This window comes from Homo sapiens, chromosome 2 (assembly GCF_000001405.40).
Source record: "Homo sapiens chromosome 2, GRCh38.p14 Primary Assembly".
Lineage (NCBI taxonomy): Eukaryota > Metazoa > Chordata > Mammalia > Primates > Hominidae > Homo > Homo sapiens.
Window position 1 is genome coordinate 42,142,299 of NC_000002.12, and position 27,974 is coordinate 42,170,272.

Consider the following 27,974-nt stretch of genomic DNA (forward strand, 5'->3'; position numbering starts at 1 on the left):
AGTGAGTCTAGCTGCTGACTAACTCTCACACTCATTTTCCCGCTGGAGATTTTTTTTTTTCTTCATGAACATTCACTGTTTCTAAATGCTTTAAACAAAGAAAATGACCGAAGGCAGGAAAAACATCAGGGACTTCTTAACCCATGGAGCTTTGTGCTTTATTATGTAATGGCTATTTTTATTTTATGAGAATCAAAGGAAGTTTAAGAAATATCTTTGTTCTTGAGCACTTACAGTAAGAAAGGGCTTCATGGGGGCGGCTACACGCACTTCAAACACTAGCTGGCATGTGAAGTGTGTAGTAAGTCAAAGCTGTTTTAGGGAATTTGGATGTTAAAGGATCTGTTCAGTGATTTGGGCAGGATTGCAACATCAATTACTGCATTTTGTTCCCATAAAAATAAATTCTTTGGAATTCTCTTATAGGGTCTGGTCCAGCAACAGAGAAGTATGACAGGTAATTAGGGTGCATGCATGCTTTGTTGTAATGAGTTCCCTGCCAGAGCTTTGGCAGGCAGGAGGTTAGGAGGAGAGATGAAATATGGACTTGTTTGAGGCAGCCATCTTGCCTCGCTGCAGGCTCCGTCACACAGACCTCATTTTGATCACCTGTGGCTGCAGGAGGCAGCTCCATAGTCCATCCTGCAGAGTACCTTGGTTATACAACTATGACCTGGTTTCTCCAACGCCACTCCAGCCTTGAGGACCATGAGGCTGTGAGTCATAATCACCGTAGCATTTACTCCTAAATTCAACTCCTGCTTACTTTCCTCCTTGACTTTCCGTCCTCCCTTTCTTGGGCCACTCAGGTCCTTTTCTGATGTCATTTCACGCTATAGAGGCCCCCTGTAGCCACTGCAGGCCCCGCCATGGCTGCTCCTCTCTGCTTGTCTTGAAGTCTGTCCTCATTGCTGCTGCTTTTTCTGGGATACTTCAAATTGTGGAGAGAGTTCTTTTCCTGTGATTATAGCTCTTTCTTCCAATTTTGACTAGTCTGGCGTCTCTGTGATTATAGCTCATTAGGACTCCCAAGGCTAGAGAGGGCACTTAAAAAAAAAACAGTTGCCTTGTTTTTATTTTTTAAGATAACATTTATTATAACTTACTTTTGCAGAGCACTGTGAAAAAGAAAGTAATAATGGTCATTAATCCCACAGTCCAGATAACCCCTAACAGTATTTTTAAAAATAAAAGTAATACATACACAGGGGAAGAAAATTAAAACAGTAAAAAAAGGTATAAAAGGAAAAATACCTCTTCTGCCCTGAGTTTTTCCCCTAAAATATAACCAGTGTTACTATTTTTTTTGTGTGCATCCTTATTATGACATAGTTATGTATGTCCTCTAACAAAATTTTCCATGAGGGAGATCTTACTGTATTAATCATTCTGCATCTCATTATTTTCACCTTAAACACCATCTCAGAGATCTTTCAAACACGAGCTGCAGATATACTCTCTCTTTTTTTTTTTTTTTTTTTTGAGACAGTCTCTGTCGCCCAGGCTAGAGCGCAGTGGCGCGATCTTGGCTCTGCGACCTCTATCTCTCGGGTTCAAACAGTTCTCTGCCTCAGCCTCCTGAGTAGCTGGGATTACAGGTGCCTGTCACCACGCCCAGCTAATTTTTGTATTTTTAGTAGAGACGGGGTTTCACCATCTTGGCCAGGCTGGTCTTGAACTCCTGACCTCGTGATCCACCCACCTCAGCTTCCCAAAGTGCTGGGACTATAGGTGTGAGCCACAGTGCCCAGCCATACTCTCTACTTTTAATGTCTGCACAATCTTTGTTAGGAGAGAATGTGCCTTCCAAGTGAAAGGCACTCAGCTAACGTCATTCCTGGCCCCTTTCTGTCCCTTTACTTCCACCACCCCTTGAGTGCAGAGTGATTTATCTGATTATATAAATTGAACCTTTCAGGTTCAATTCTGCCCTTTTCTTCTTAGGATGGAGTTGCCTACCACTCCCCCAGAAGTGGGCAGAACTGGAGAATGTCTATCCAATTCGGGGTTTCCATAGTAGGAAGCCTATTTGTCTCTCAGTATGAGATAACACATGGTGCAGCATGCAAATTAGCCTTCATCAGAGAGATTTCTGCCTTCATCTGTCGTTTTCTCAGTTTGTTCAGATTCTGAACAGGGAAGAAGGCTGCTATGTATTGGGCCTTTTCAGAGTCCTCACATGTTATTCCTTATTTGTATGTATCAAAATGTATTTAATCAGTTTCCTTTTTTTTTTTTTTTCGAGACAAGGTCTTGCTTTGTCGCCCAGGCTGGAGTGCAGTGGCACAGTCTTGGCTCACTGCAGCCTCGACTTCCCAGGCTCAAATGATCCTCCCACCTCAGCCTCCCAAGTAGCTGGGACTACAGGCACATGTCACCCTACTCAGCTAATTTTTTTTGCCCAGGCTGGTCTTGAACTGCTGGGCTCAAGTGATCTGCCTGTCTCATCCTCCCAAAGTGCTGAGACTACAGGAGTGAGCCACCACACCCAACCAATCAGTTTCCTAATGATGGATGTTTAGGTGGTTTCCAGTTCATTGCTAGAACAAATAACACCTCAGTGAATATCTTTAAACGTATATCTTGGTAAACTTTTTGCAATCACATCAAAAAGTAGATTCCTGACCGGGCACAGTGGCTTACGCCTGTAATCCCAGCACTTTGGGAGGCTGAGGCTGGTAGATCACAAGGTCAGGAGTTCAAGACCAGCCTGGCCTAAATGGTGAAACCCTGTCTCTACTAAAAATAAATAAATAAATAAAAAATAAAAAGTAGATTCCTTACAGATATTGCTAGACCAAAGATGTGTCTTAGTGTCCCAAATAAAGATGGGAGAAAAAGATTACCCTCAACCTTAATATAAGTTGAAAAGGGGGTGCCTAGATAATATACTAATAATTATAATGGCAATAATTAACATTGATTTATTTCTTACTGTATGCCAGGTTCTGTGCTAAGCACTTTATGTATACTAATATTTTTAAATCCTCATAACAGCGTTATGAGAGTGACTATTATTATCTCAGGTGTTTTTTTTTTCTTTTTTTTTTTTTTTTTTGAGACGGAGTCTTGCTCTGGCCCCCAGGCTAGAGTGCAGTGGTGCAATCTCGGCTCACTGCAAGCTCCACCTCCTGGGTTCATGCCATTCTCCTGCCTCAGCCTCCCGAGTAGCTGGGACTACAGGCGCCCGCCACCACGCCCAGCTAATTTTTTGTATTTTTAGTAGAGACGGGGTTTCACCGTGTTAGCCAGGATGGTCTCGATCCCCTGACCTGGTGATCCACTCGCCTCAGCCTCCCAAAGTGCTGGGATTACAGGCGTGAGCCACTGCGCCTGGCCTATTATCTCAATTTTTTATAGTTGAGGATACAGAGATCAAAACTGTCAAATAACTAGCCCAAGATCACACAGCTAGTAACTAGCAGAGATGGAATTCAAGTCCATGTTTGTGCAATTTGAGAATTTATACCTCTAAGCACCAGACTAAAGGGTGTTCCCCATGGCACAGGGTGGTTAGTAGTCTGGTCTAGAATTTGAAAATGTGTGACGACCATTGGCTCAGATCTCAGCTCCCACATGCGTGTGTGTGTGTGTGTGTGTGTGTGTGTGTGTGTGTGTGTGTCTGTGTGTGTGTAATAATGATTAAGAACACAGAATCTGCAGTCAGACTATATGGGTTCAAATCCCACCTTTGTCTCTTATCAACTGTGGAATGACTACCTTAGTTTCCTCATCTGCAAAATGGAGACTTTTAAGAAGATTAGGTTATTTAATATTTGTAAAACACTAAGGAACACTGCCTGACATCAAGTAAATTTTTCATAAGTGTTTGTTATTCATTTATTTTACAATTATTTTTAATTCTAAAAGCAATATACAAATTCATATTTGTATAATACTCAATAATTCAAACAATATTCAGATATATATAATAATAAATGAAAGTCCCCCTCACCTTAAGCTTCTGCCACCACCTGACGCCACTGATTCCCATTCTTCCCTTTATAGATTAATGGTTAGTGTCTATGCCTTCAGACCTTGTTGTTTTTAACATGCATTTTTCTTTTTACGTATGTAGTTTTATTTGTACACAACTGAGATTATTCTACTGGGAGAGTAGCTTAGCATAGTGATTAATAAATGGACACTGGCGCAACTTTGTCTGAATTCAAGTCCCAGCTCATCTATCTACCCACTGTGTGACCTGAGACAAGTACCCTAACCTCTGAGACTCAGTTTTCTCATTAATTTCCACAATGAAAAATGACAAGTACCTGACTTATTATGGAGATTAAATGAGTTAATATACGTAGAGCTCTTAAAACAGTGCCCGACACAAAAAATATTCAGTAAATGTTAGTTCTTATAATTACTCCTACATGTGCTGTACTGGGACTTGCTCTGTCTCTTTAACAATATATCTTACAGGTTATCCCACAACAGCATATATAAAAATGCCTCATTTAAAAGCGGCTATAGGACAAGCAGGGTGGCTCATGCCTGTAATCCCAGAACTTTGGGAGGCTGAGGTGGGTGGACTGCTTTGAGCTCAGGAGTTCAAGACCAGCCTAGGCAACATGGTGAAACCTTGTCTCTCAAAAAAAATAAATAAACAAACAAACAAACAAACAAATTAGCCAGGCATGGTGGCACACACTGTAATCCCAGCTACTTGGGAGGCTGAGGCTGGAGAATCACTTAAACCTGGGAGGTGGAAGTTGCAGTGAGCCAAGATGGTGCCACGCACTCCAGCCTGAGTGACCCAGTAAGACCCTGTCTCAAGATTTAAAAAAAAAAAAAAAAAGTGGCTACATAGTGTTTCATAGTACAACCATATTGCAGTTTATTTAGATTTGCCCCAATTTGGGTTGTTTCTAGCATTTGTATTCTTTCTCATGTGAGAATGTAGAATTCTAGAGTGAATACCAGTCATCAGTATATTCCACTTTATTTAACAAACATATATGTCACTTACTACATGTCAATTTCCTAATCATCTTACTCATTTAATACTTATATTAACTCTATTAAAGTAGGGGCTATTTAATCCCTATATAACAGATGGGGAAATTGAGGCACTGGGTAGTTAAGTAACCTGCCCAGGATAGCATGGCCAGGAAGCTGGGGACTGGGATTCCAACCCAGGCAGTCTGGCTCCTGAGTCCATGCTCTTCACCACCACACTCAGAACCTCTCTTCTGTGTTCTAAAATCTGTGGCCTGCACTTCATTAGAACCCCAAGCCTCATCTCATCACAGTTTGCACCTATACTGTGGATGGGAATTCACCGTCTTTGGAATACACTTAGGAATATACAAGTAATGTAAGGGATAACATGATTGCTAAACCAACCTGATTCTTTGAACTACCAGAAGCGAGCCTGTCTAAGGACTGCTCCTGACAACAGCCAGCCAGCATTGAGAAAGCTCTTCAGCGATGATACCAGCACGTTCCTCCAGAGGCCCCGGGTCTGGTCTCTCAACTGTGCTTCTGTGCCACGCTGGCCCACTGAGCAAACTCACAATGCAGGGCAGCAGACAGCCTTAAAATAAACAAACATGTTTTTGTTGTGCCTGGTTAGGGAACAGTATCTATCCAATTAGGTAGTAGAAAACTCATGTAAATAATCTGTCCTTTTTTTTCAATTCCTGCTATGTGGGAGTCTTTCACAACTGACTTGGCCAACTCAAATTCCTAAAATGCTAAGGTTCAGAAAGTCTGGTCAAAATTTGCTAGTAAAATATGAAACTCTGTCTTCTCTGTCCTCTATCCCCCACCCCTACCCTCAAGCTACTTTAGCTTTCAAACATGTATGAAATGCTTTTTTCTTTAAAGATATGGGTGAGCTATTTCTTTTGGAGTATGTCCAGATGATCTGGCAAATGCACACTTGGCATTAGCCACAGGGAAGCACATTAAAAAAAAAAAACCAGAGGAGCAACAAATAAAATTAGGGCAGACTATGGGCCTACCCTTCATACAAATCAGAACATCTTTCCAAGTGGAAAACTTCATGAAACTCGGTGGGTTTAATTTTTTTTTCTTTTGCTTTGTTAATGGAAAAATATACATTCACAGACACATGTAATTTAATATTCTGGAAAGTTCTGACATTAATGATAAGAGTTTACATTTTAATTTCAAATATTATTGCTCATTCTAACATATTAAAACCTGCATTTTTCCTTTTATAAATATACTTCTATCTCTGGGTTGTGTCCTTATGAAAAGAAGTACCGAAAGCCAGTCTTTCACTCATCCCAAAGCTTAACTTTTGGCTCAAGGAGCTTCCTATCCTGTTCCAGCTGTGACATGTTGAAAGTAGACTTGGAAATTGTGGACAATTTGCTATACTCTATGAATCTTTGCTGTGGTTCTACTCCTTTGCATTTTAGGAAATAAGGTAGGAGACAGGGAGTTGTATCAGGCCATTCTTGCATTGCTATAAAGAAATACCTGAGACTGGGTAACTTATAAAGAAAACAGGTTTAATTAGCTCATGGTTCTGCAGGCTTTAAAGGAAACATCATGCTGGCATCTGCTGGGCTTCTGGTAAAGTCTCAGGGAGCTTTCAATCATGGCAGAAGACAAAGCGAGAGCAGGCACTTCACATGGCAAAAGCAGGAGGAAGAGAGAAAGAGAGAGAGTGGGAGGGTGGTGCCACACACTTTTACATAACCAGATCTCACAAGAACTCACTATCAGGAAGACAGCATCAGGCTATGAGGGATCCACCCTCATGATCCAAACACCTCCCACCAGGTACTACCTCCAGCATTGGGGATTACAATTTAATATAAGATTTGGGTGGGGACAAATATCCAAAACTGTATCAAGAGGGAATCATGGGGAGAGGCTCTGATAGGAACAGGGAATGGGTCCTGTTCAGGGACTCCTTTCTACTTTTACTGTTCACATCATCCAAAGGGACAAACTGCCTTTACAACATATGTTTAATCCAACTCCTCTCACAGAGAGATAGTTGAGCAAGGTGTAGACTGGTTTGGGATGGAACAATAGGCTAGTCTTACCCTTGATCACAGCACATAAAGCTGGATATTGAATACAGGAAACGATGTAGCAGCAGATTATTAAGACCAAAGACAGGCCAGGCACGGTGGCTCACACCTGTAATCCCAGCACTTTGGGAGGCAGAGGCAGGCGGATCACCTGAGGTCAGGAGTTCAAGACCAGTCTGGACAACATGGTGAAACCGTCTCTACAAAAAATACAAAAATTAGCCAGACGCAGTGGCACTTGCCTGTAGTCCCAGCTACTCGGGAGGCTGAGGCAGGAGAATCACTTGAACCTGGGAGGCAGAGGTTGCAGAGAGCCAAGATAGCACCACAACCTCGGCAACAGAGTAAGACTGTCCCCCACACCCTCCCCCCGACAAAAAAAAACCAAAGACCAAAGACAGACGTTGATTGCAAAAGAGTTGATCCATTTTTTTTTAATTAAAATATCAATCAATCGGCCAAGCATGATGGCTCACGCCTGTAATCCCAGCACTTTGGGAGGCCGAGGCAGGTGGATCACCTGAGGTCAGGAGTTTGAGACCGGCCTGAAACAACATATAGTGAAACTCCATCTCTACTAAAAAATACAAAAATTACCTGGGTGTGGTGGCACATACCTGTAGTCCCAGCTATTTGGGACACTGAGGCAGGAGAATCGCTTGAACCCGGGAGGCAGAGGTTGCAGTAAGCCGAGATCACTCCACTCTACTCTAGCCTGGGCGACAGAGCGAAATTCCGTCTCTCAAAAATACAAAACAAAACAAAATATCAATCAATCACACACAAAAAAAATCAATCACCATGCCCTCCTGGCCCCTGTTAAAGAAGTAGACTCAGTAGCCATGTTTTGTACCATGAGATCTAGCTCTCTGGACTCATGAATGATTGGATCAGGGTGGGCACCTGATTTAAGAGCAACCAAACCATAGATTGGCTAGATTCCCATGACCTGTAATCAGATATGAAAAGATACATTGGACCCATCAGAGCTTCTCTCTCAGAAGAATGGCATGAAAGTAGAGAAATTACCAGTTCATAGCAGGACAGAAATGAGTATGGCTGAACTATAGCTATACTGATGAAATACAGTGAAGACTTACAAATTTGTAATTGGTAAAGTGTACAGCCACCTCAAATTGAGAACTAGCTTTTAGCACTAGTTTCTCTGAAGCTAGCCCTTTATGGTTTTTGTTCTTGGGTTTCCAAAAGCTTCCATTATCTTATCATGTATTTTTCTGAATGTTCTTATACTTGAGCTAACTGGAATGAGTATCTGATACTTGCAGCCAAAATAAAGCCAAACTAAAGCATTATCAAATAGGCAAGCAAAAATGGAGCCAAAATAAAGGAGACTGAGGAATCGGGAAAGTCTAAACCAGAAGTAATACAAGTGGGTGACTTTGTTAAGGCTCATGAGGTTGCAAATAATGTTACTAAAATCAATTCAAGTCGATGAAAGAAGAAGGAAAAAAAGGAATTCATATATTCATGTGGAGGATACTGAAGTAGCTCAAGGACAGCCAGGACTCTTAAACATTAGTTCCAGACAGTTCCTCAAACTGTTAATCATAAAGTTATTACCATATGACCCAGCAATTCCACTCCTATGAAAGCATATGTGCACACAAAATGTACACCAATGTTCTTGGCAGCATTACTCATGATAGGCAAAAGGTAGAAACAACTCAAATTCCCACAAAGTGATAACCAGATAAACAAACTGTGGTGTGTCCATATGATGGAATATTATTCGGTTATAAAAAGAAATGAAGTTCTGATACATACTACAAAATGGGTTAACCTTGAAAAACTTACTGCTAAGTGAAAGAACCCAGACACAGAGGGCCACATATTGTATGACTGATTCCATTTATATGAAATGTCCAGAATAAACAAATCCATATAGACAGAAAGTAGATTAATGATTGCCAGGGGCTGGGTAGAATGGGGAATGGTGGGCAGTGACTGCTAGTGAGCTCAGAGTTTCTTGTGGAGGGATGAAAATGTTCTAGAATTAGATCGTGGTGATGCATAACTCTATACTAAAACCCACGGAACTGTACACTTTGAAAAGTTGAATTTTATGTCATGTGAATTATATTTCAATAAAGCTGTTATTATAAAAATTTTTATATATATAATTTTTATAATTATATATACATATATAACAAAACAAACAAAAAACGAATGTCACAAAGTGGAAAGCCAGAAAGAAACCACACAAGACTTTCTCACACTCTCTCTCCTCTCTGTGTCCCTGTGGACACCTGTTTCATTCTTGTCACTCTACAAATCTTAGCTTTTACATGCACATGGTAGACAGATGATGGCTACCCCACCATTCAAAATTTACATGTTGTGATAGAGACTGACTAGATGGTCACCTACCCATTTTCTCTTCTTTCTGGGCATACAACTGGACTGTGTTTCCCAGCATCCCTTCCTGTCAGGTAGGGCCATGTGATGAACTGTGGCCAGTAGAATGGGGGCATGGTGCATACTATTTCAGGTCTAACCCATTTAAAAAATCTCCTGTGCACCTCTTCAGCCTCTCCCTCTTCCCTTGACTAAGGTCTTAGAAAATAGTGAAGCCACTAGATGGAAGGAACCTGGGCACTTAGTAAAATTTATGGAGCATAGCATTTCCCTCATCTCCATCCTCCATTGGCCTACATTAAAGCATGATATGGTTGAGAAATAAACTGAAGCCGTTGAGATTTGGAGATCGTTTGTTATAGCAGTTAACCTTCTCTGACCAATACATATGTATCCTCTGTATAGGAGACTAACTCAGATTGACTGGGTTAATCTCAATTCTAATTTGAAATCCTCAAGTGAGAAAATCATATTATCTCAAACGGTGTCAGATGGTTTCCTAGTTCAGTCAACTGACATCAAGGAATGAGGTTACAGGGCATAGATACAGTCTCCTAGGGGCCTATCCATGTAAGTCAACAGCATTTCTTAGAGGAAAGATGTCTACTATAGTGGTTAAATATTAGGGGTCATTATGAATTAGAGAGATGAAGGTACAATGCCTAGTGCGCGCGCGCGCGCGCACACACACACACACACACACACACACACACACACACACATGCTCTAGTTCCTAATTCTAAAGTTCCTTGTAGGCAATTTGAAAAATACAAAAAAAATTGTCACCATTTGTTAGCACTTCCTTTCCTCCTTAATTCCCATTTTTTTGCTTCCTCCCGTCTTTCGAGGCAATAAAGTGTAGTAGATAAGAGAGGCTAAATCCCTAGAATGACATGACCTGGTGTATGTTTGTTTCCACACTGCTATAAATAAATACCCAAGACTGGGTAAATTATAAAGGAAAGAGGTTTCATTAACATATAGTTCCACATGGCTGGGGAGGCCTCAGAAAACTTACAATCATGGTGAAAGGAGAAGGGGAAGCAAGGACCTTCTTCACTTGGAGGCAGGAGAGAGAAGTGTGAGGAGTGAAGGGGGAAGAACCCCTTATAAAACCATCAGATCTCATGAGAACTCACTCACTATTGTGAGAACAGCATGGGGAAACTGCCCTCATGATCCAATCACCTTCCAGTGGGCCCCTCCCTTGACACATGTGGATTATGGGAATTACATTTCAAGAAGAGATTTGGGTGCGGACACTGCCAAACCACATTACCTGGATATAGCCTACCTTTACCATTTTTCTGGATCTGTGGCTTTGGGGAAAAGTACTGAATTGCTGTCTGTCTTAATTTTTTCATCCATATGGTTAATGATAGCACTTACCAGAGGGTTCTCATGAAGATTAAGTGAGTTAATACGTGTCCAGTGCTTAGTATAGTGCCTGGTTCATAGTAAGTACTTACTGTTAGCTGTTATTATGTATCTGAAACTGCATTCCAGTGTTTCTGCATCCTTTCTTGAATATTCTAAGGATGGAAGATTACTTTGTCTTTAGGGGAAACTCTTTTTATTTTATTAATTTATTTTTTTTTTTTGACAGTGTCTCGCTCTTTCGCCCAGGCTGGAGTGCAGTAGTGCCATCTCGGCTCACTGCAACCTCTGCCTCCCAGGTTCAAGCTATTCTCCTGCCTCAGCCTCCTGAGTAGCTGGGATTACAGGCGGGTGCCACCACACCCAGCTAATTTTTGTATTTTTGGTAGAGACAGGGTTTCACCATGCTGGTCAGGATGGTCTCGAACTCCTGACCTCATGATCTGCCCACCTCAGCCTCCCAAAGTGCTGGGATTACAGGTGTGAGCCACCGTGCCCGGTCTATTCTATTCTATTCTATTATTTATTTATTTTTGAGACAGAGTCTCACTCTGTCACCCAGGCTGGAGTGCAGTGGTACAATCTTGGCTCACTGCAACCTCCGCCTCCTGGGCTTAAGTAATTCTCCTGTCTCAGCCTTCCTAGTAGCTGAGAATATAGGCATGTGTCACCATGCCCGGCTAATTTTTATATTTTTAGTAGAGACAGGGTTTCACCATGTTGGCCAAGTTGGTCTTGAACTCTTGTCCTCAAATGATCCACCATCCTCGGCCTCCCAAAGTGCCGGGATTACAGCCATAAGCCACTGCTCCAGGCCAGGGGCAACTCTTTTTAAATTCTTGAGGACCCAAAGGAAATAACAAACAACTGTGCTTGGAAGTCCCTGAACCAGTGGAGTAATCCAAATGCAAATGTTTTAGATGAAGACACTGAGGTTTCCGTTTAACAATGCAAAAAGCCATTTTTATTGGGAGCAGGTATAGCTGTCCAGACTATCGAGTTTCCTCTGCTGATGGTCAGAAACAAGAACTCCTATTGAGTCAATAGGAGGAGATGCCCTCTGGGAGGGTGAGGCAAACCTTTGCACAACTGTGGCAGGCTGAAAACAAAGGAGTGGGCCTGTGGTGGAGAGTCCCTGGAAAGAGGCTTACAGGGAACTTTAGGAGCAAATGATATCTAATGTTCAGTGTTAAAGTTTTTTCCTGCACTGTAATTCTCTATGTAATCCTTGAGACTTTGTAAGGTTTGTTAAAATTGTAGCCAGATGATAGAGAATGACAGTCAGCTGGAAAAGCCATTTTGAGACATGTGAGAAGTGATTGGGGAAGGAGGCTGGGGCAATGCTGTGGAGTGCATAGGGATCAGGTAACAGGATGAGTTGGGGAATATGCAGACATGTGTTGGAGGGTCTCAGAAATACCCAGAGAGGGGACTGGACTGCTGTGACCGTAGAGAATGAAGAGAAGAGTTACGGCATATGAAAGTACATAAATCCAGTGAGGCTGGGAAAGCTGGAGGATCTCTCTCTCTCTCTCTCTCTCTCTCTCTCTCTCTCTCTCTCCATACATGAATCTTGTGTTTGTGTATATGTGTAGAATATATATCGACATTGGGTTTATAGGATATGTAGATAGTTTTTCACCTTGTTTTTCACTTAACTTTATATCATGAGCCTTTCTTAATTTTTTTTTTTTTTTTGAGACGGAGCCTGGCTCTGTCGCCCAGGCTGGAGGGCAGTGGCGCGATCTCAGCTCACTGCAACCTCCGCCTCCCGGGTTCACGCCATTCTCCTGCCTCAGCCTCCTGAGTAGCTGGGACTATAGGCACGCACCACCATGCCCAGCTAATTTTTGTATTTTTAGTAGAGACGGGGTTTCACCATGTTGGCCAGGATGGTCTCGATCTCTTGACCTTGTGATCCGCCTACCTCGGCTTCCCAAAGTGCTGGGATTACAGGCATGAGCCACCACGCCCGGCTCTTAATATTCTTTAATATTGTTCAAGTATATAATGAATAATGGCCTCAATAACCTATTGTATGATTATGCTATAATTTATTTAGCTGAGGTCAATTATGGGACATTTAGATTTTTTGCAGTTTTTCACTTTTATAAATAATACTTGCAGAGAATATTCTTACCTATTCTTTGCATATTAAATAACTCATTTTTTGAGTTCTCAGAAGTGTATATTCTATGGCAAATGGTATGAACAATTTTAAGGCTTTTGGTAGATTAACAAATTGCTGGCTAGAAAGATCATACCTAGGGCCAGGCGCACGCCTGTAATTCCAGCACTTTGGGAGGCTGAGGCCAGTGGATCACCTAAGCTCAGGAGTTCAAGAGCAGCCTGGGCAACAACATGGTGAAACCCCGTCTCTACCAAAAAAAAAAAAAAAAATAGCCAGGAGTGGTGGTGTGCACCTGTGGTCCTTGCTGCTCTGGAGGTTGAGGTGGGAGGATCGCTTGAGCCTGGGAGGCAGAGGTTGCAGTAAGCCGAGATTGTGCCACTGCACTCCAACCTGGATGACAGAGTGAGACCCCGTATAAAAAAAAAAAAAGAAAGAAAGATCATACCCTTGAAGGACTCCATAAGCACCCCCAGCCTCCCACCCTGAAATTATATAGGCATACATTTCATCATATCATGGGGTTACTTGCAGATTTTGGGGGATGAGGTGTGCTCATTTAAAGAAAATGAACATAGTCTGGCATGCTGGTGCCTGTCTGCAGTTCCAGCTACTCAAGAGGCTGAGGTGGGAGGATCGCTTGAGCCCAGGAATTCGAGGCTGCAGTGAGCCATGATCACACCACTGCACTTGAGCCTCGGTGACACGGGAGAGACCTTGTATCCAAAGAGAGAGGGAGAGAGAGAGAAAGGCTGAATATGATGGACACAGGAAGGCATTTGCTTAGTTACCAAGAGGTTCCACTAACAAAATATACCTCAGTTTTCATGTCAGAAGAACTGCTTTTATTTACTTGCACGATAGTCTCTCTTTAGCAGTTTTGGCAGCAGAGAAACATCAGTATCTCTTTTTTTTTTTTTTTTTTTTTTTTTTGAAACGGAGTCTCGCTCTGTCACCCAGGCTGGAGTTCAGTGGCGCGATCTCGGCTCACTGCCAGCTCCGCTTCCCGGGTTCACGCCATTCTCCTGCCTCAGCCTCCCAAGTAGCTAGGACTACAGGCGCCTGCCACCACGCCCGGCTAATTTTTTTGTACTTTTAGTAGAGACGGGGTTTCACCATGTTAGCCAGGATGGTCTCGATCTCCTGACCTCGTGATCCACCCGCCTCGGCCTCCCAAAGTGCTGGGATTACAGGCTTGAACCACCACGCCAGGCCATCAGTATTTCTTATAAAGAGAGCTCTCTAGCTTTCCTCACAATGAGCTAATTCTTAATTCTACCTTTTCTACTTTGGAGGCGAGGTGAAATAATCCATTCTTTGGTGTCATGATCGAGGGAAAACCTTCTCTCCAACTCTCAAATTTACCCCTACAAGTAGGTATCCTGGCTCAAGCTAAATGCCTACTAGGCTTACATAACATATTATAGTGACCATGACCTTATGTTAAATGCAATGGAATTGAAACCCAGAACTAGTGTTCTCACTAATAGTTTCTACCTTATATAGAGTAAATGTCATCATGGAAATATCAAAGGGGAAATGTGATGGGGGCAGGGAGACCATTTATAGGACTGGGCTGACATGGAATGATGTCCACTAGAACATGAAGGGTTTCAAGGCCGAGTGGATGTCACAGCCATGAGATGAATGTTGCAAGTGATATGTTCATACTCACACCAGCTGTCCTGGCTCTCCCTTAAGTGCATATCTCAGTTCAGGGATAACCATGAGCAGCTCAGAGCCCTCAGCACCCCAGGTGGGCAGGAATGCGTAGAGCACGGGCCACTTTGAAACCTCTACCCTGTTCCTGACCCTATTCCCACATGGGGAAAGTATGGGTCAGGGAAAGCATCTATGCAAGCTGTTCAATGAGCATGTTTTAGGCGTAGCAGTTTTTCTCTGACTTCATTAACTCATGGGAAGTAATTCTCTAGAAGTACATTAGAGCTCTTTTACTTGTTATAAACAACACTGTTGCTGACTACCAAAGTAATGCAGTACAGTGTAGAAATAGAAAAAGGAATAAAAGTCATCCACAATCCCAGAACCCAGAGATAACCACCATTAACATTTTAGTAAATGTTTTTATTCATTTATCCATAGATCTATAGACACATGGTCATCTCTTTTGTAATTCTGAGATCATACAGTAGTACTATTTTGTAATCTCCTCTTTTCATTTAACAAAATGTGAACATTTTCCCACATCATTAACCATTTTTACAATATGTGGTTTTTTTTGTTTTGTTTTGTTTTTTGAGACGGAGTCTCTCTCTGTCACCCAGGCTGGAGTGCAGTGGTGCAATCTCGACTCACTGCAACCTCCACCTGCCAGGTTTAAGTGATTCTTCTGCCTCAGCCTCCTAAGTAGCTGGGATTACAGGCATGAGCCACCACGCCCGGCCTACACTATGATTTTTACAGCTGCATAGTATACTAACCTATGGAGGTAGCATTAATTATTTAATCATGACCATCTGAGTGTACCTGTAAGTTGTTTATGTTATTGCACCATTAAAAATAATATTGTGAGAAGACTTACTGTTAGACAAATCTTTGAATATGGCTCTGATTATTTCCCTTGGGCTAATTCCTTAGTGTGAAATTGCTTAGTTAAAGGTAGTCACATTTTGGAGCTTTCGATAAACGTACTAACTTGCTCTCCAGAAATGTAGAATATTTCACACACCTGTATATGAGAGTACCTGTTTAACTGTCTTCTCATCTATACTAAAGAATTTTTTCTTTGTTTGTTTGTTTCGAGACAAAGTCTCGCTCTGTCGCCGAGGCTGGAGCGCAGTGGCACGATCTCGGTTCACTACCACCTCCGCCTCCTGGGTTCAAGCGATTCAGCTGCCTCAGCCTCCCGAGTAGCTGGGACTACAGGCACATGTCACCACGCTCAGCTAATTATTATTATTATTATTATTATTATTATTATTATTATTATTGGTATTTTTAGTACAGACGGGGTTTCACCGTGTTACCCAGGATGGTCTCAATCTCCTGACCTCGTCATCTGCCCGCCTCGGCCTCCCAAAGCGCTAGGATTATAGGAGTGAGCCACCGTGCCTGGCCAAGAATTTTTTTAAAAAACACCTCTTACCAGGCACAAAAAGACAAACTGCATGTTCTCACTTATTTGTGGAATCTAAAAATAAAAACAATTGAACTCATGGAGATAGAGAGTAGAAGGATGGTTACCAGAGATTGGGAAGGGTAGTGGGAGAGGTAAGGGTGAGGTGGGGATGGTTAATGAGTACAAGAAGAAAAACCAGAATGAATAAGACCTAGTATGTTATACCACAAGGTGACTATAGTGACTAATAACTTAATTGTACATTTTTATATAACTAAAAGATTCATGCCTGTAATCCCAGCACTTTGGGAGGCCGAGGCGGGCAGATCACGAGGTCAGGAGATTGAGACCATCCTGGCTAACACGGTGAAACCCCGTCTCTACTAAAAACACAAAAAATTAGCCGGGCGTGGTGGCGGGCGTCTATAATCCCAGCTACTTGGGAGGCTGAGGCAGGAGAATGGTGTGAACCCAGGAGATGGAGTTCGCAGTGAGCCAAGATCGTGCCACTGCCCTCCAGCCTGGGCGACAGAGCCAGGTCTCAAAAAAAAAAAAAAAAAAAAGGATAATAATTGGATTGTTTGTAACACTAAGGATGGATAACACACTAAGGATGGATACCCCATTTTACATGATGTGATTATTGTGCATTGCATGCCTGTATCAAAGATCTCACGTACCCCGTAAATATATACACCTACTATGTAGCCACAAAAATTAAAATTATAAGTTAGAAAAAGCCCAACTTTTCAAATTTGATTTCCATCAGATGTTATCTCCTCATTTTAGTTTTTACTGCTTTCTTTCTTTTTGAGACTTTATTCATTTAGAGACAGGGTCTCACTCTGTTGCCCAGACTGGAGTTCAGTGGCACAATCAGGGCTCACTGAAGCCTCAACCTCCCAGGCTCAAGTGATCCTCCCACCTCAGCACCTCATCACCTGAGTAACAGGGACTACAGGCATGCGCCACCATGCCTGGCTAATTTAGACTTTGTTTTTTTGAGATGGAGTCTCGCTCTGTCACCCAGGCTGGAGTGCAGTGGCACGATCTTGGCTCACTGCAACCTCCGCCTCCCAAGTTCGATACTCCTGCCTCAAGCCTCCTGAGTAGCTGGGACTATAGGCACCCACAGCGATGCCCGGCTAATTTTTGTATTTTTAGTAGAGACAGGGTGTTTTGGCCAGGCTGGTCTCAAACTCCTGACCTCACGTGATCTGCCCACCTCAGCCTCCCAAAGTGCTGGGATTACAGGCGTAAGCCAACACGCCTGGCCATAATATTTGTATTTTTAGTAGAGACGGGTTTCACCATGTTGTCCAGGATGGTCTTGAACTTCTGATCTCGGGTGATCCACTGGCCTCAGCCTCCCAAAGTGCTGGGATTACAGGCATGAGCCACAGTGCCCGGCCAAATTTAGACTTTTTTAGAGCAGTTTTAGGTTCACAGCAATATTGACAGGAAAGTACAGAGATATCTCATATGCCCTCTGCCCTACACATCCATAGACTCCCATTATCAACATCCTGCAACAGAGGGGTACATTTGTTACAATCAATGAACCTACGTTGACACATCATTATCACCCAAAGTCCATAGTTTACATAAGGGTTCACTCTTAGTGTTGTGCATTCTATGGGTTTGGATAAATATGTAATGACATGTATCCACCATTATATCATCATAAAGAGTATTTTCACTGACCTAAAAAGCCTCTGTGCCTATTCATTCCTCCCTCCCCACTTACCTCTGGCAACCACTGACATTTTTACTGTCTTCTTAGCTTTGCCTTTTCCAGAGTGTCATATAGTGGAATTATACAATACGTAGCCTTAGTAATATGCATTTAAGTTTCCTCTGAGTCTCTTCATGGCTTGATAGCACATTTCTTTTTAGCACTGCATATTTCATTGTTTGGATACACCACAGCTTATTTACTCATTTACCTACTGGAGGACATCTCGGTTGCTTCCAAGTTTTATCAATTATGAACAAAGCTGCTATAAATATGTGGAGATTTTTGTGTGGATGTACTGATTTTTAAATGTTCTTATATACACTTATTAGTGATTTGTATTTCTTCTTTTATGAAATGCCTGCTCACATCCTTTTTCAAGCCTACATTTTTTTTCTTTTTTTTGTTTTTGAGATGGAGTCTCGCTCTGTCGCCTAGGCTGGAGTGCAGTGGCACGATCTCAGCTCACTGCAAGCTCCACCTCCCCAGTTCAAGCCATTCTCCTGCCTCAGCCTCCCAAGTAGCTGGGACTACAGGCACGTGCCACCACATCTGGCTAATTTTTTGTATTTTTAGTAGAGACGGGGTTTCACTGTGTTAGCCAAGATGGTCTCGAACTCCTGACCTCGGGTGATCCACCCACCTTGGCCTCCCAAAGCGCTGGGATTACAGGCGTGAGCCACTGTGCCCGGCCTTGCCTACATTTATTGACCTGCGGTCTGGCCAACTTGATAAGCCTGGTTGCATGCAGGATACTGGATAACTGAGACCAGCAACTGCTGGCAATAACAGAAAGATGCTTCCCCCACAATTTTGGCCCTGGGAGGAACTTGGGCTCTTCCACGGGAATCTTTTCTCACTTTTGGGTAAGGACAGCCCATTTCACATGAAGGACTCTCTGGACCTGGGTCATGGCTCACCTCATGGGCTGATGCAAAAATGCCACCATGGCTGGGCATGGTGGCTCACACCGGTAATACCAGAACTCTGGGATGCTGAGGTGGAAAGATTGCTTGAGGCCAGGGTTTGAGACCAGCCCTGGCAACATATCGAGACCCCAACTCTACAACAACAACAAAGTCACATTTTGGAATTGAATTCAGGTTTCAGTTCTGAGGTAACCTTATACTCATTTTAGTTTTATAACAGATCCTCTAGAAACTTTAATCATCACAGTTTAAATGGAAGGGAAGCCTTATCTGAAAATGTCATTCAGCTAAGTGCAAGTCTCCCAGGTACTCAAGAAGGAAAAGTCCCTATTCTGACTGGGAGGACTTTGATGATGAGCATCATTGGCTTTATGCAACTAGACATGCTCTGTTATTACAGACCATTCACATCTTGATCAAACACTCAGTTTGGGCCAAGCAAAGTTTTAGCCTAAGAAGAGAGTGAGGAATGATACAAAAAGCTTTTTGACCATGTATCTGGAGACACACTCATGTATGTGCACACATGTGCCTTCTGTTTGCATGTATAGGCACATATAATTATTCTAAAAGAAACTAAAGGGAATAATATGCACAAAAGCAATTATGCATTTTTTATTTTTTTTCCTATTTCTTTTCTCCCCAAAATTGCAGACTGCCTAGATGCAAATTAATACAGTAACACCAAAAGAACCCTAAAGTCACAGCTGATTGCTCTGATGAACCTATGACAGGCACTAGAAGATTGCTTACTAAAGTCTGCAAGCAAAATAAAGAAACAATTTCTTACACCCATTGTAAAGGCTCTGTGTGCTTTAATTACATCCACCAAAGACCATAAACTCAGGTTGGGAAACTTCCATGTCTTTAATCTTAATTGTTGTAGTCCAAGTATTTCATTGCACTTGAAAACCCCTTATGACTTCTTACATTTCTAGTTAAAATTTATTTTTTAAATGCATGGTTTTTGTTTTTGTTTTTGTTTTTTTTACTCATAGACTTCTAAGTAAAAGTCCATAGACTTGGAAACAGAAGGGTTTAAAGTAAAACAAAAAAAATCTTAGGTTTTATTGTTATTATTACTTAAGTCAGAGGCAATTTTAACTTTTTGTCTTTATATAGCTTCTTTACAATGTTTTGATACTGCATTTGATCGTTTGGTTATTGGATATAAAGTTTGTGTTGTAAAGGACCGCAAACTAATGATTTTTTTAAAATGTGCAATTGAGATGTCATCTAATGATACACCTGTTTCTGGTTAATCAGAATGTTTTATCAAATCCTTAAAAGCTCACTGAGGTTCAACTGTGGTTTGGGATAAAATATACATAGATGAGGAATATCTGACTTATTTTTGTGTGGAACATGAAGTAGTATAAAAAATAGACTTTTCAAAGAAGAATAAGACATGATGAATAAGAAACTGTTATCCAGGAAATTGGTATTATATTAGCCTACAATACAGACAAACTGAATAATGGAGTAATGAGGATAGTATATGGGTGAGGAAAGAGCATCCAATAGATAACTCAAGAAAAGCCTAGGAAATCAGGTTCTTTGGCCTATGGAGATGGGAGAGAGAACTTGGTAACCCTTGTTTGCAAGCATACTGAGGTAATCTCAATTCTACAAATTTGCCTCTTTAGGCTGGGCACGGTGGCTCATGCCTGTAATCCAATCCCTTTGGAAGGCTGAGGCAGGAGGATTGCTTGAGCCCAGGAGTCCAAGACCAGCCAGGGCAACATGGCAAAACCCCATCTCTACCAAAAACAAAACAAAACAAAACCACACACACACACACACACACAAAAATTAGCCGTGTGTGGTGGTGTGCACCTGTAGTCCCAGCAACTCAGAAAGCTGAGGCATGAGGATCGCTTCAGCCCAGGAGGTTGAGGCTGCAGTGAGCCAAGATCATAATGCTGTACTCCATTCTGGGTGACAGAGTGAGACCCTGTCTCAAATAAAATAAAATAAAATAAAATAAAATAAAATAAAATAAAATAAAATATTCCTCTTCATCACACTTCAGCTCAATTTTCTGTTTCTGATCTTCTTTATTCATTCATTTAACAAATATTTATTGAACACCTACCATGTGCCAGGTGCTCTTCTAGGAGCTGGGAATTCAGCAGTGAACAAAACAGACAAAATCCTGCCAAATTCCTTTAAACTGTAGCCTGCATTTTTTTCTTTCCACTTTCAGACCCCCCTTTCAGTCTTTAATCCCCTGCAACTTGATTTTTTCCTCCACCATCAAGATAAACAACTCTCTAAAGACCAGTGATCTCGTAATCACTAAATCTAGTATCCGTTCCTCACTTCTCATCTTCCTTGGACTCTGTAGCATTTAACAGCTTCCAACTTCCATCATTAAAAAAAAAAAAAAAAAAAACAACCTTTTGGCTCCTTTTGGTTCTGTGATAGGGCACTAGCAGGATTTGCCTTCTATTGCTGTTATTGTTTCTTCTCTGACACCTTCTCTTGCCTCCTAAATATTGGAGGTCCCTCAAGTTCTACATTCTGCTCATTTCCATTTTTTCCCTTAAATCTTTTTCCTCTAAGATTTCTCATAGCTTAAACCATCGGCTCTATTGAGAAGTCTCCTGCGTGTATATTCCCAGACCCAACCCGCTCCTAAACCACAGTCCACATTTCAAACTGTGTGCTGGAGGCTTCCATCTGGACATCTGGTTATGACGCCAAGCACAATCTGTTTAAAACTGAACGCAGCACTTGTACCACTCAGAGTTCTCTATTGCAAACAACAGAAACCCACTCTGGCTGACTCAAGCAGAAAACAAATTCGCTGGGAGGATATCAGGTAGCTCCTTCAGTCGATGGGAAGATCAGAGGGCCAGGCACAGAAAATGGGCAGAAACCCAGGCAGTGTAGGGCACAGAGAGCATGGGCAAGTTTACTCTTTAGGACTCTAGTGAGGACGCTGCCCTGGAGTGGGCTGCCCTACTTCCTACCTCTGCACACCATCACTGTTGCTCTTCAATTTCTCAACTATCTTCAAGCATGGTCTCTGACTGCTAGTTTTTGTATCACTGCCCCCCAACTCATCCCTGCCATTAAAAGACCTGGGTTGAGGCATTCACTTGGCCTAGGTCATGTGCCTGGGCCCCAGCTGTCAAAGATGACCTCTGATTCCCTTCAGCTTCCCACAAAGGTTAATTCATCACTGTATTTTCTTTTCTCCAGTCACATCATTTCTTTAAGTTCCCATTTTAATATAATGCTGCCATTATTCTCTCCATCACTGGGAGCTGAACCTGGATAACCTGTTTTACTCCCTCCTCTTCCTTAGCTTCTGAGGCAATCAGTCCACCCAGCTCTGCGAGGGTTTTGTTTGTTGTTAATTCATGTTTTCCTTCACAAGATTTTTTTTTTCTTGGCGCTTTCTGCAGCTACTGCTTCACTGCAAGTCTCCTAATTGGATTCCCCACTTCCAGTGCCTCTTCCAATGTGTCCACCCGGTTTAATCTTCCTAAAGCAATGCTTTGATCATATCACTTTGCTGCTAAAACTGCATTGTTGATAGGCGTCTCAGTCTGGTGTTCAAGGATCTCCACAACAGAATCCCATTGAGCCCAAAAGGCAAACTGGTGCAGCGAAGAGTTTGATTTTCAGATGTAGATGGATATGGGTTCAAAACTTGATTTTCCCATTTTATAGTTTTATACTCTTGAGGCTCATTTTCCCTGTCTGAAAAATGGGGATAATGAAACCTACCACTTAAGGACCTTCATAAGTCAGAACTTTGAAAGTTGAAACGGTATTATATGTTGTATTTAGGTTGCAACATCAACCCACAGATGCTTATAATAGGCAATATTCAATTTCAGACCTGTCTGGTTCAAAACCTTAAGTAAGGCTGTCATCAGTGTGGTTTAACGCAGGCAGGTTAGGATCAGCATGCTACATGTTTTTGGGGCTAAGTGGCAATCTAACCACCAATTATGGCATTATTACTAATTTCAAACTGCTGACTTACAAATGACCTTTTGGAAATATTTTATTTGCAAGTAGAGAACTTCCTGTGTTATTAATTTTGAGAATTGAATTTCCTTGATTGGCTGCTTTCCACTCTAATATTTCTATTTAAAAGTATTTCCCTGCAGAATATCAATTTTGTAAGGGATTGTTATGAACTCTTCATGGAGAAAAATTTTACATTTATGATGGACACATGAAAATTATTAGCTATTATCTCTAAGGCTTGCGCAACATCCAGTAAATGTAGTAAAGCTATAACACATAAAAAGAAACTTTAAAGTTTGTTCCACAATCTCAACAAGTTCAAATCTCATTTCATGGCATAAATTCTGAATTAGCATTGGGAAAACTTAGCTCTGCAGGCAAGGCTAGTTGTCTTCTTTCTGTAGGTCATGGATGGCACCATGAGAAATGCCAAAATTAACCTCAATAGGCATTCGTTCACTCACTCATGCATCTATGCAGCAGGTCCTCCAAGTGAGGTATGGCTTGTGATCCCCACAGGATAGATTTCAGTCTCATAAGTTCTCACCAAGAATTTACAGCACTACTAATTGCTTGATTCTTTCCTGAAGTCAGCAAGTCTGGAAAGTCTTACGAGAGAGATAACCATCATGCCAAGATTGGTAAAACAGTTATTAAATAAGTATGATATTTTAAACCAGTCTCTACAGACACAGTTTATGAGTGTCTAAATATGCAGTGAAATATATTTTTTGTTTTTGCATTTTAATGTTTTCAAAAAATGAATACTTCTATGATTAAAATAAAATAAAAGTGAAATCCCCCATATCTCTCCTCTACCCTTTCCTTCTTCCACTTAATTTCATTTCTCAGAGGCAGCTACTTTTGACACTTTGGGGTATCTCCTCTCAAACTCCTTTTATTTCTCTTGCAATAATTTTGAAGTTCTCCCTAGGCATTCTTTATGGTTAGAAGCTAGAATAACATTGCCATTTAGCTTCTTATAGATTTTGGAATTCTTTTACACACTGCTTACATTAAACATATTATAAAAATGAAGAATCCCTTTTTTCCCCCACTCAGGTATTAACTCTGATTTTTTTCTATCAAATTTGTGCTTACATGGACTACAGGTTTATACAATCTATATAGTTCCATGACTATAGGGTTTCATTTTTTAAATAACATTCAAATAATGAAATAAAAGGAACTGAAGACACAGCATACTTAAAAAAAACCCTTAATTTTCCTTGGCATTTATTTTAAAATGTCTGCGGGAGAGAAAAGCAAGCAGACAAAAACAGTTTATAGTTACTTTTCAAGATCATCTAGCTAGTGAGAGTAAAACAAAGAAATTGAATAGGAATCTTATTTTTCTTCAAACGTTAGGTCAAGACTTTGACAATGTATCTTCACAAGTATTCTGAAACTCCTCCCACAACATACTAACCTTGACATAGAGGGGAAGGTAAGTATGCAGAGTCAAGATTCGATGTATAAAGAGAATGTTCTGGCCAGGCATGGTGGCTGAAGCCTGTAATCCCAGCACTTCAGGAGGCCAAGGCTAGGCGAATCACTTGAGGTGAGGAGTTCGAGACCAGCCTGGGCAACATGGCCAAACCCTGTCTCTACTAAAAATACAAAAATTAGCTGGGCATGGTGGTGCACAACTGTAATCCCAGCTACTTGGGAGGCTGAGGCATGCTAATTGCTTGAACCCGGGGAAGCGGAGGTTGCCGTGAGCTGAGATCGTGCCACTGCACTCCAGCCTGGGCAACAGAGTGAGACCCTGTTTCAAAAACCAAAACCATAAAGGGAATGTTCTAAGTTTTCATTATTTGATACAGCTATATTTAGCCTTTTCCAATAACTGGGATCCTGAAAAACGGCACATATTTTGCATTTGCCTGAATTAAGTTATACTTAAGGAGCTCAAAGGGGCAATGGAACTCCACATTGAAAATAATCTAAAGATAAATCCTTTGTTAAGGTGAATAACCAAAATAACCCTCCAGTAATTCGTAACTGTTTAGAACCTTAGTATTTGTGTGTGTGTTTGATAATGTTCAGCTATGGTTTCACTTTTGAAAGATGTATGTTAAATTTTATTTTATCATAGTAGTATTAGAGGCTTAGATTGCAAGATGTACTTTGATAAATATAAAACAAAAATTCTGGCTGCTTTAAAACACTCAGGCACTGGTTGTTGAAACAATGTATTCAGATTGACTAGTTTTCAGAATTCTTCTATGTTTGTTCATTATTCAATAAATATTTATCAAAAAGCTGTTCTGTAATATGCACTAAGTATATAATAGAGAGCAAAAACAGGTACAAAATAAGAGCAGCTAATACCTACTGAGCACTTATAACATATTGTGCCCTGTTTTAAGTGCTTTACATATATTACCTCATAGCATCCTCTCAAAAACTCTAAGAAGTAGAAGTGTTATCATCTCCATTTTGCAGTCAATAAAATGGAGGCACAGAGAGGTTAGGTAATTTGTCCAGTGTTTCATAGCTAGTACATGATGAGTTGGGATGTGAATCTGGGCAGCATGATTCCAGAGTCTGCACTCTTAACTGCTGGGATGTACTAACTCTCCTACATTTTAACAGCTTTCCTTGTAGTATACAGTATAATGAATGAGATGCTTATTGAATAAATCATTCAAGCAAATGAAAAATTTTAACTCTGATGAATGCCACGAAGGGGAGTGTGGCAGAAACCAGAGAGCTGTTACCAAAATATGTCTCTTTTCCTTCTGGATACACAGACTACATTCCTAGCCTCCCTTGCAGTCATGTGACCAAGTTCTGGCCAGTGGAATGTGGACAAAAGGGAGGTACACACTTCCAGGTCTGGACCATAAAACATATGTATACCAATATGCCAAGTTCTTATTCTTTTAATCGACCTAAGGCAGAGAGTGTGGCCTGAAGACACAAAGGAACAGCTGTCAGAATTGAGAACTTCTCAAACATTTACTTAGGCTTAATAGAAACTTATGCATATGAAAATGCCCATAGCAGAAGGAACATTGGGTAAATCATTTAAGTTTGAAGAGAAGGAAATTTTAGACACCGTTTAGTCTGTAACCTGAATTTATCTTGGCTGCGTTATGGCCAGTCTCCATATAGTATGGTATTCAGAAACAGGTCTTATATCCAAATAAGAAATGCAAAGTAATTTACATTTTTAGGGAAGATTTTTAAAGAGGCAACAAAGGGAGACGTATACCCCAAGAAGGTTTAACAATCCTTTCAATCATTTAATTCCTCTAAGTCTCTCTCATCATTACATATTTCTTGTCTCCCTTCTTGTTTGTCCCTCTCTCCTGCAACTCTGTGTAGTAGGACTCTGTTTTCCCCTAACTCAGCTTTTTATTATGTATTTATCAATTTATTATGTATAGATCAATTCAGTTCTTCAGTACCTTACAGCTCTTCTCTCTCTTACTCTAATCTGCACAACTGAGCCCCAGGAGGGACTTGACAAACCATGAGAAAGTCTTTAGAAGTATGGGAAATCGTGTTGGGGAAGGGAGGAAGAATATGAACGCTATGTATATTTACATGTTTTGGTTACATGTCCAGACAACCAATTTGCAAATGAATAAAGTGACGCCTAAATAAATTAGGTGATTTGACACTCTTGAGTCATACGGAGTTGGGCCTAGAACTCAGTGTTACTTCATTTGAAATAACCCTTATTATGGTTCCCTAGCAGGCCATCCTATAGCCTGCCATATATGGTCGTTTTGCACCCCTAGACGACAGAACGCTAGGGAGAGTAAGGAAGGCTGAGTTTTTGCTTCTACTAGGTTCGATGACCTTGGGCAGGTTGTCCTCTCTAAGGCTCTGTGTTTTTCTTCATAAGAAGGGTTAGACAAGATGAACTTTTGGGTCATGTCCAGCACTAAAATTCCTTGCTTCTGATCTGTCCCGGGCCCTGCGGCTGTGGCAGTGGTGGTATCGAGCTAGTCAAGAAGCTTCGCCCCTATTTGTCCCCCACCCTATTGGGGGAGAGGGAGAACCTCTCCCTCTTGGTTGCTTCTTTAGTGTCCTTGTAGGACCCACGTGGTGGTCATCTCCCGTCACGGGGGTCCAGTCTTGGCTCTGCGGGCTTCCCAGGGGCCACATAGGGAGAGGATCCTTCATGCATCAGAGTATCGCAGGCCAGAGTCTATGCCTTATCCCCACCTGTTTGGAACCAGCTTCCAAACCGTGGTCCCCAGCCTTCAGCAGGCCTACCGCGCAGGCGCAACCACCAGCCTGGCGCGAGGCGGACAAACGCCGAGGCCGAGGCAAGGTGAGAGGGCGGGGCTGGCAAGACCCCGCCTCCGTGGCGTCACGTGGGAGGCGGAGTCGGAAGTGTGACGGCGTGCGCGGGGCGGGGCTACTGCTGCGCGCGGGCGCGGGGGCGGGGCGGGGCGCGGCGCGGCGCGGCGCTCGCGGCTGCTGCCTGGGAGGGAGGCCGGGCAGGCGGCTGAGCGGCGCGGCTCTCAACGTGACGGGGAAGTGGTTCGGGCGGCCGCGGCTTACTACCCCAGGGCGAACGGACGGACGACGGAGGCGGGAGCCGGTAGCCGAGCCGGGCGACCTAGAGAACGAGCGGGTCAGGCTCAGCGTCGGCCACTCTGTCGGTCCGCTGAATGAAGTGCCCGCCCCTCTAAGCCCGGAGCCCGGCGCTTTCCCCGCAAGATGGACGGTTTCGCCGGCAGTCTCGGTGAGTACGGCTGGGGAGTCCTGCGTCTTCTGCGAAGGGTAGGAACTTTTTTCCTTCCGCACACAGCCCAGGCCCTGCCCTCCCGCCTGCCCCTCGGGGTGGCAGCGGCTCCACTGCACATGTTCCCTTCGAGGCTGCCGCCCCTCCGCGGACTCCGGTGGACTGAGGGCCCCTCCCCCATGTCCAACTCTCCTCTGTGTCAGACCCTCCTTTCCTCCCGGAGCCCCTTTCAGTGCGGGGCCCTCGTTCCCCCAAAGTGGGAACCCCTTCCTTCTCAGGCCCCCCGATAGCTGGCACACCCCTCCCCGTACACTCACGGCTCCCTCCACTTACCCCCCTTCAGAGTTGGGACATTTCTTCAAATCCAGGCTCCTCTTCAGGGTACAACCTTCCACCACCTTTCCACATACACGCCTCTCTTTCAGGGTGGGGATCGCCTTCACCCGAACAGAGGCTCCTTTTTAGGGGAGGGACCCTCATTCCCTCTTCAGGAAGGGGGCATCCCCCGCCCCCAAGTCTTCACTTTAGATTTGAAGGCGACTTTCCAGTATCCTTCAGAGTAGTAGGCAACTTCCTTTTCAATCCCTCCACTTCTCTGAGCATTTTGCAGTGGTGGAGAGACCTAGAAGCATCGGA

The 27,974-nt window shown here is 42.4% G+C and overlaps 1 protein-coding gene and 1 long non-coding RNA gene across 8 annotated transcripts in view, besides 4 other annotated features; one reads left to right on the forward strand and one right to left on the reverse strand.

Annotated features, from left to right (window-relative positions):
* Nucleotides 1-136: 136 nt before the first annotated feature.
* EML4-AS1 (EML4 antisense RNA 1) lies at nucleotides 137-27,933 on the reverse strand. The gene is made up of 4 exons (NR_110584.1): nucleotides 27,672-27,933; nucleotides 7,637-7,734; nucleotides 5,353-5,542; nucleotides 137-1,046 (listed from the first exon to the last, which is right to left on the reverse strand). It is a non-coding gene; the product is annotated as an EML4 antisense RNA 1 (long non-coding RNA).
* Nucleotides 26,637-26,776: an enhancer, noted in NCBI's record as "active region_15644". NCBI's record gives its function as "activates an Ori minimal core promoter by ATAC-STARR-seq in GM12878 lymphoblastoid cells {active_cell/tissue: GM12878}" and the evidence as "EXISTENCE:reporter gene assay evidence [ECO:0000049][PMID:35858748]".
* Nucleotides 26,789-27,441: an enhancer, noted in NCBI's record as "NANOG-H3K27ac-H3K4me1 hESC enhancer chr2:42396227-42396879 (GRCh37/hg19 assembly coordinates)". NCBI's record gives its function as "activates a minimal SCP1, AML or CMV promoter by ChIP-STARR-seq in naive H9 embryonic stem cells {active_cell/tissue: H9 hESC(naive)}" and the evidence as "EXISTENCE:reporter gene assay evidence [ECO:0000049][PMID:30033119]".
* Nucleotides 26,857-26,906: a silencer, noted in NCBI's record as "silent region_11401". NCBI's record gives its function as "represses an Ori minimal core promoter by ATAC-STARR-seq in GM12878 lymphoblastoid cells {active_cell/tissue: GM12878}" and the evidence as "EXISTENCE:reporter gene assay evidence [ECO:0000049][PMID:35858748]".
* Nucleotides 27,007-27,066: a silencer, noted in NCBI's record as "silent region_11402". NCBI's record gives its function as "represses an Ori minimal core promoter by ATAC-STARR-seq in GM12878 lymphoblastoid cells {active_cell/tissue: GM12878}" and the evidence as "EXISTENCE:reporter gene assay evidence [ECO:0000049][PMID:35858748]".
* The window catches only part of EML4 (EMAP like 4), a 163,196-nt gene continuing 162,276 nt past the window's right edge, over nucleotides 27,055-27,974 (forward strand). For all 7 annotated transcript variants that reach the window (XM_047443953.1, XM_006711992.3, NM_001410776.1 and 4 more), the window contains exon 1: nucleotides 27,055-27,338. Coding sequence is in view for 5 of the 7 variants with exons in the window: in NM_001410776.1 (NP_001397705.1) it covers nucleotides 27,314-27,338 (25 nt within the window). In the remaining 2 variants the exon portion in view is untranslated. The remainder of the gene's footprint in view (nucleotides 27,339-27,974) is intronic.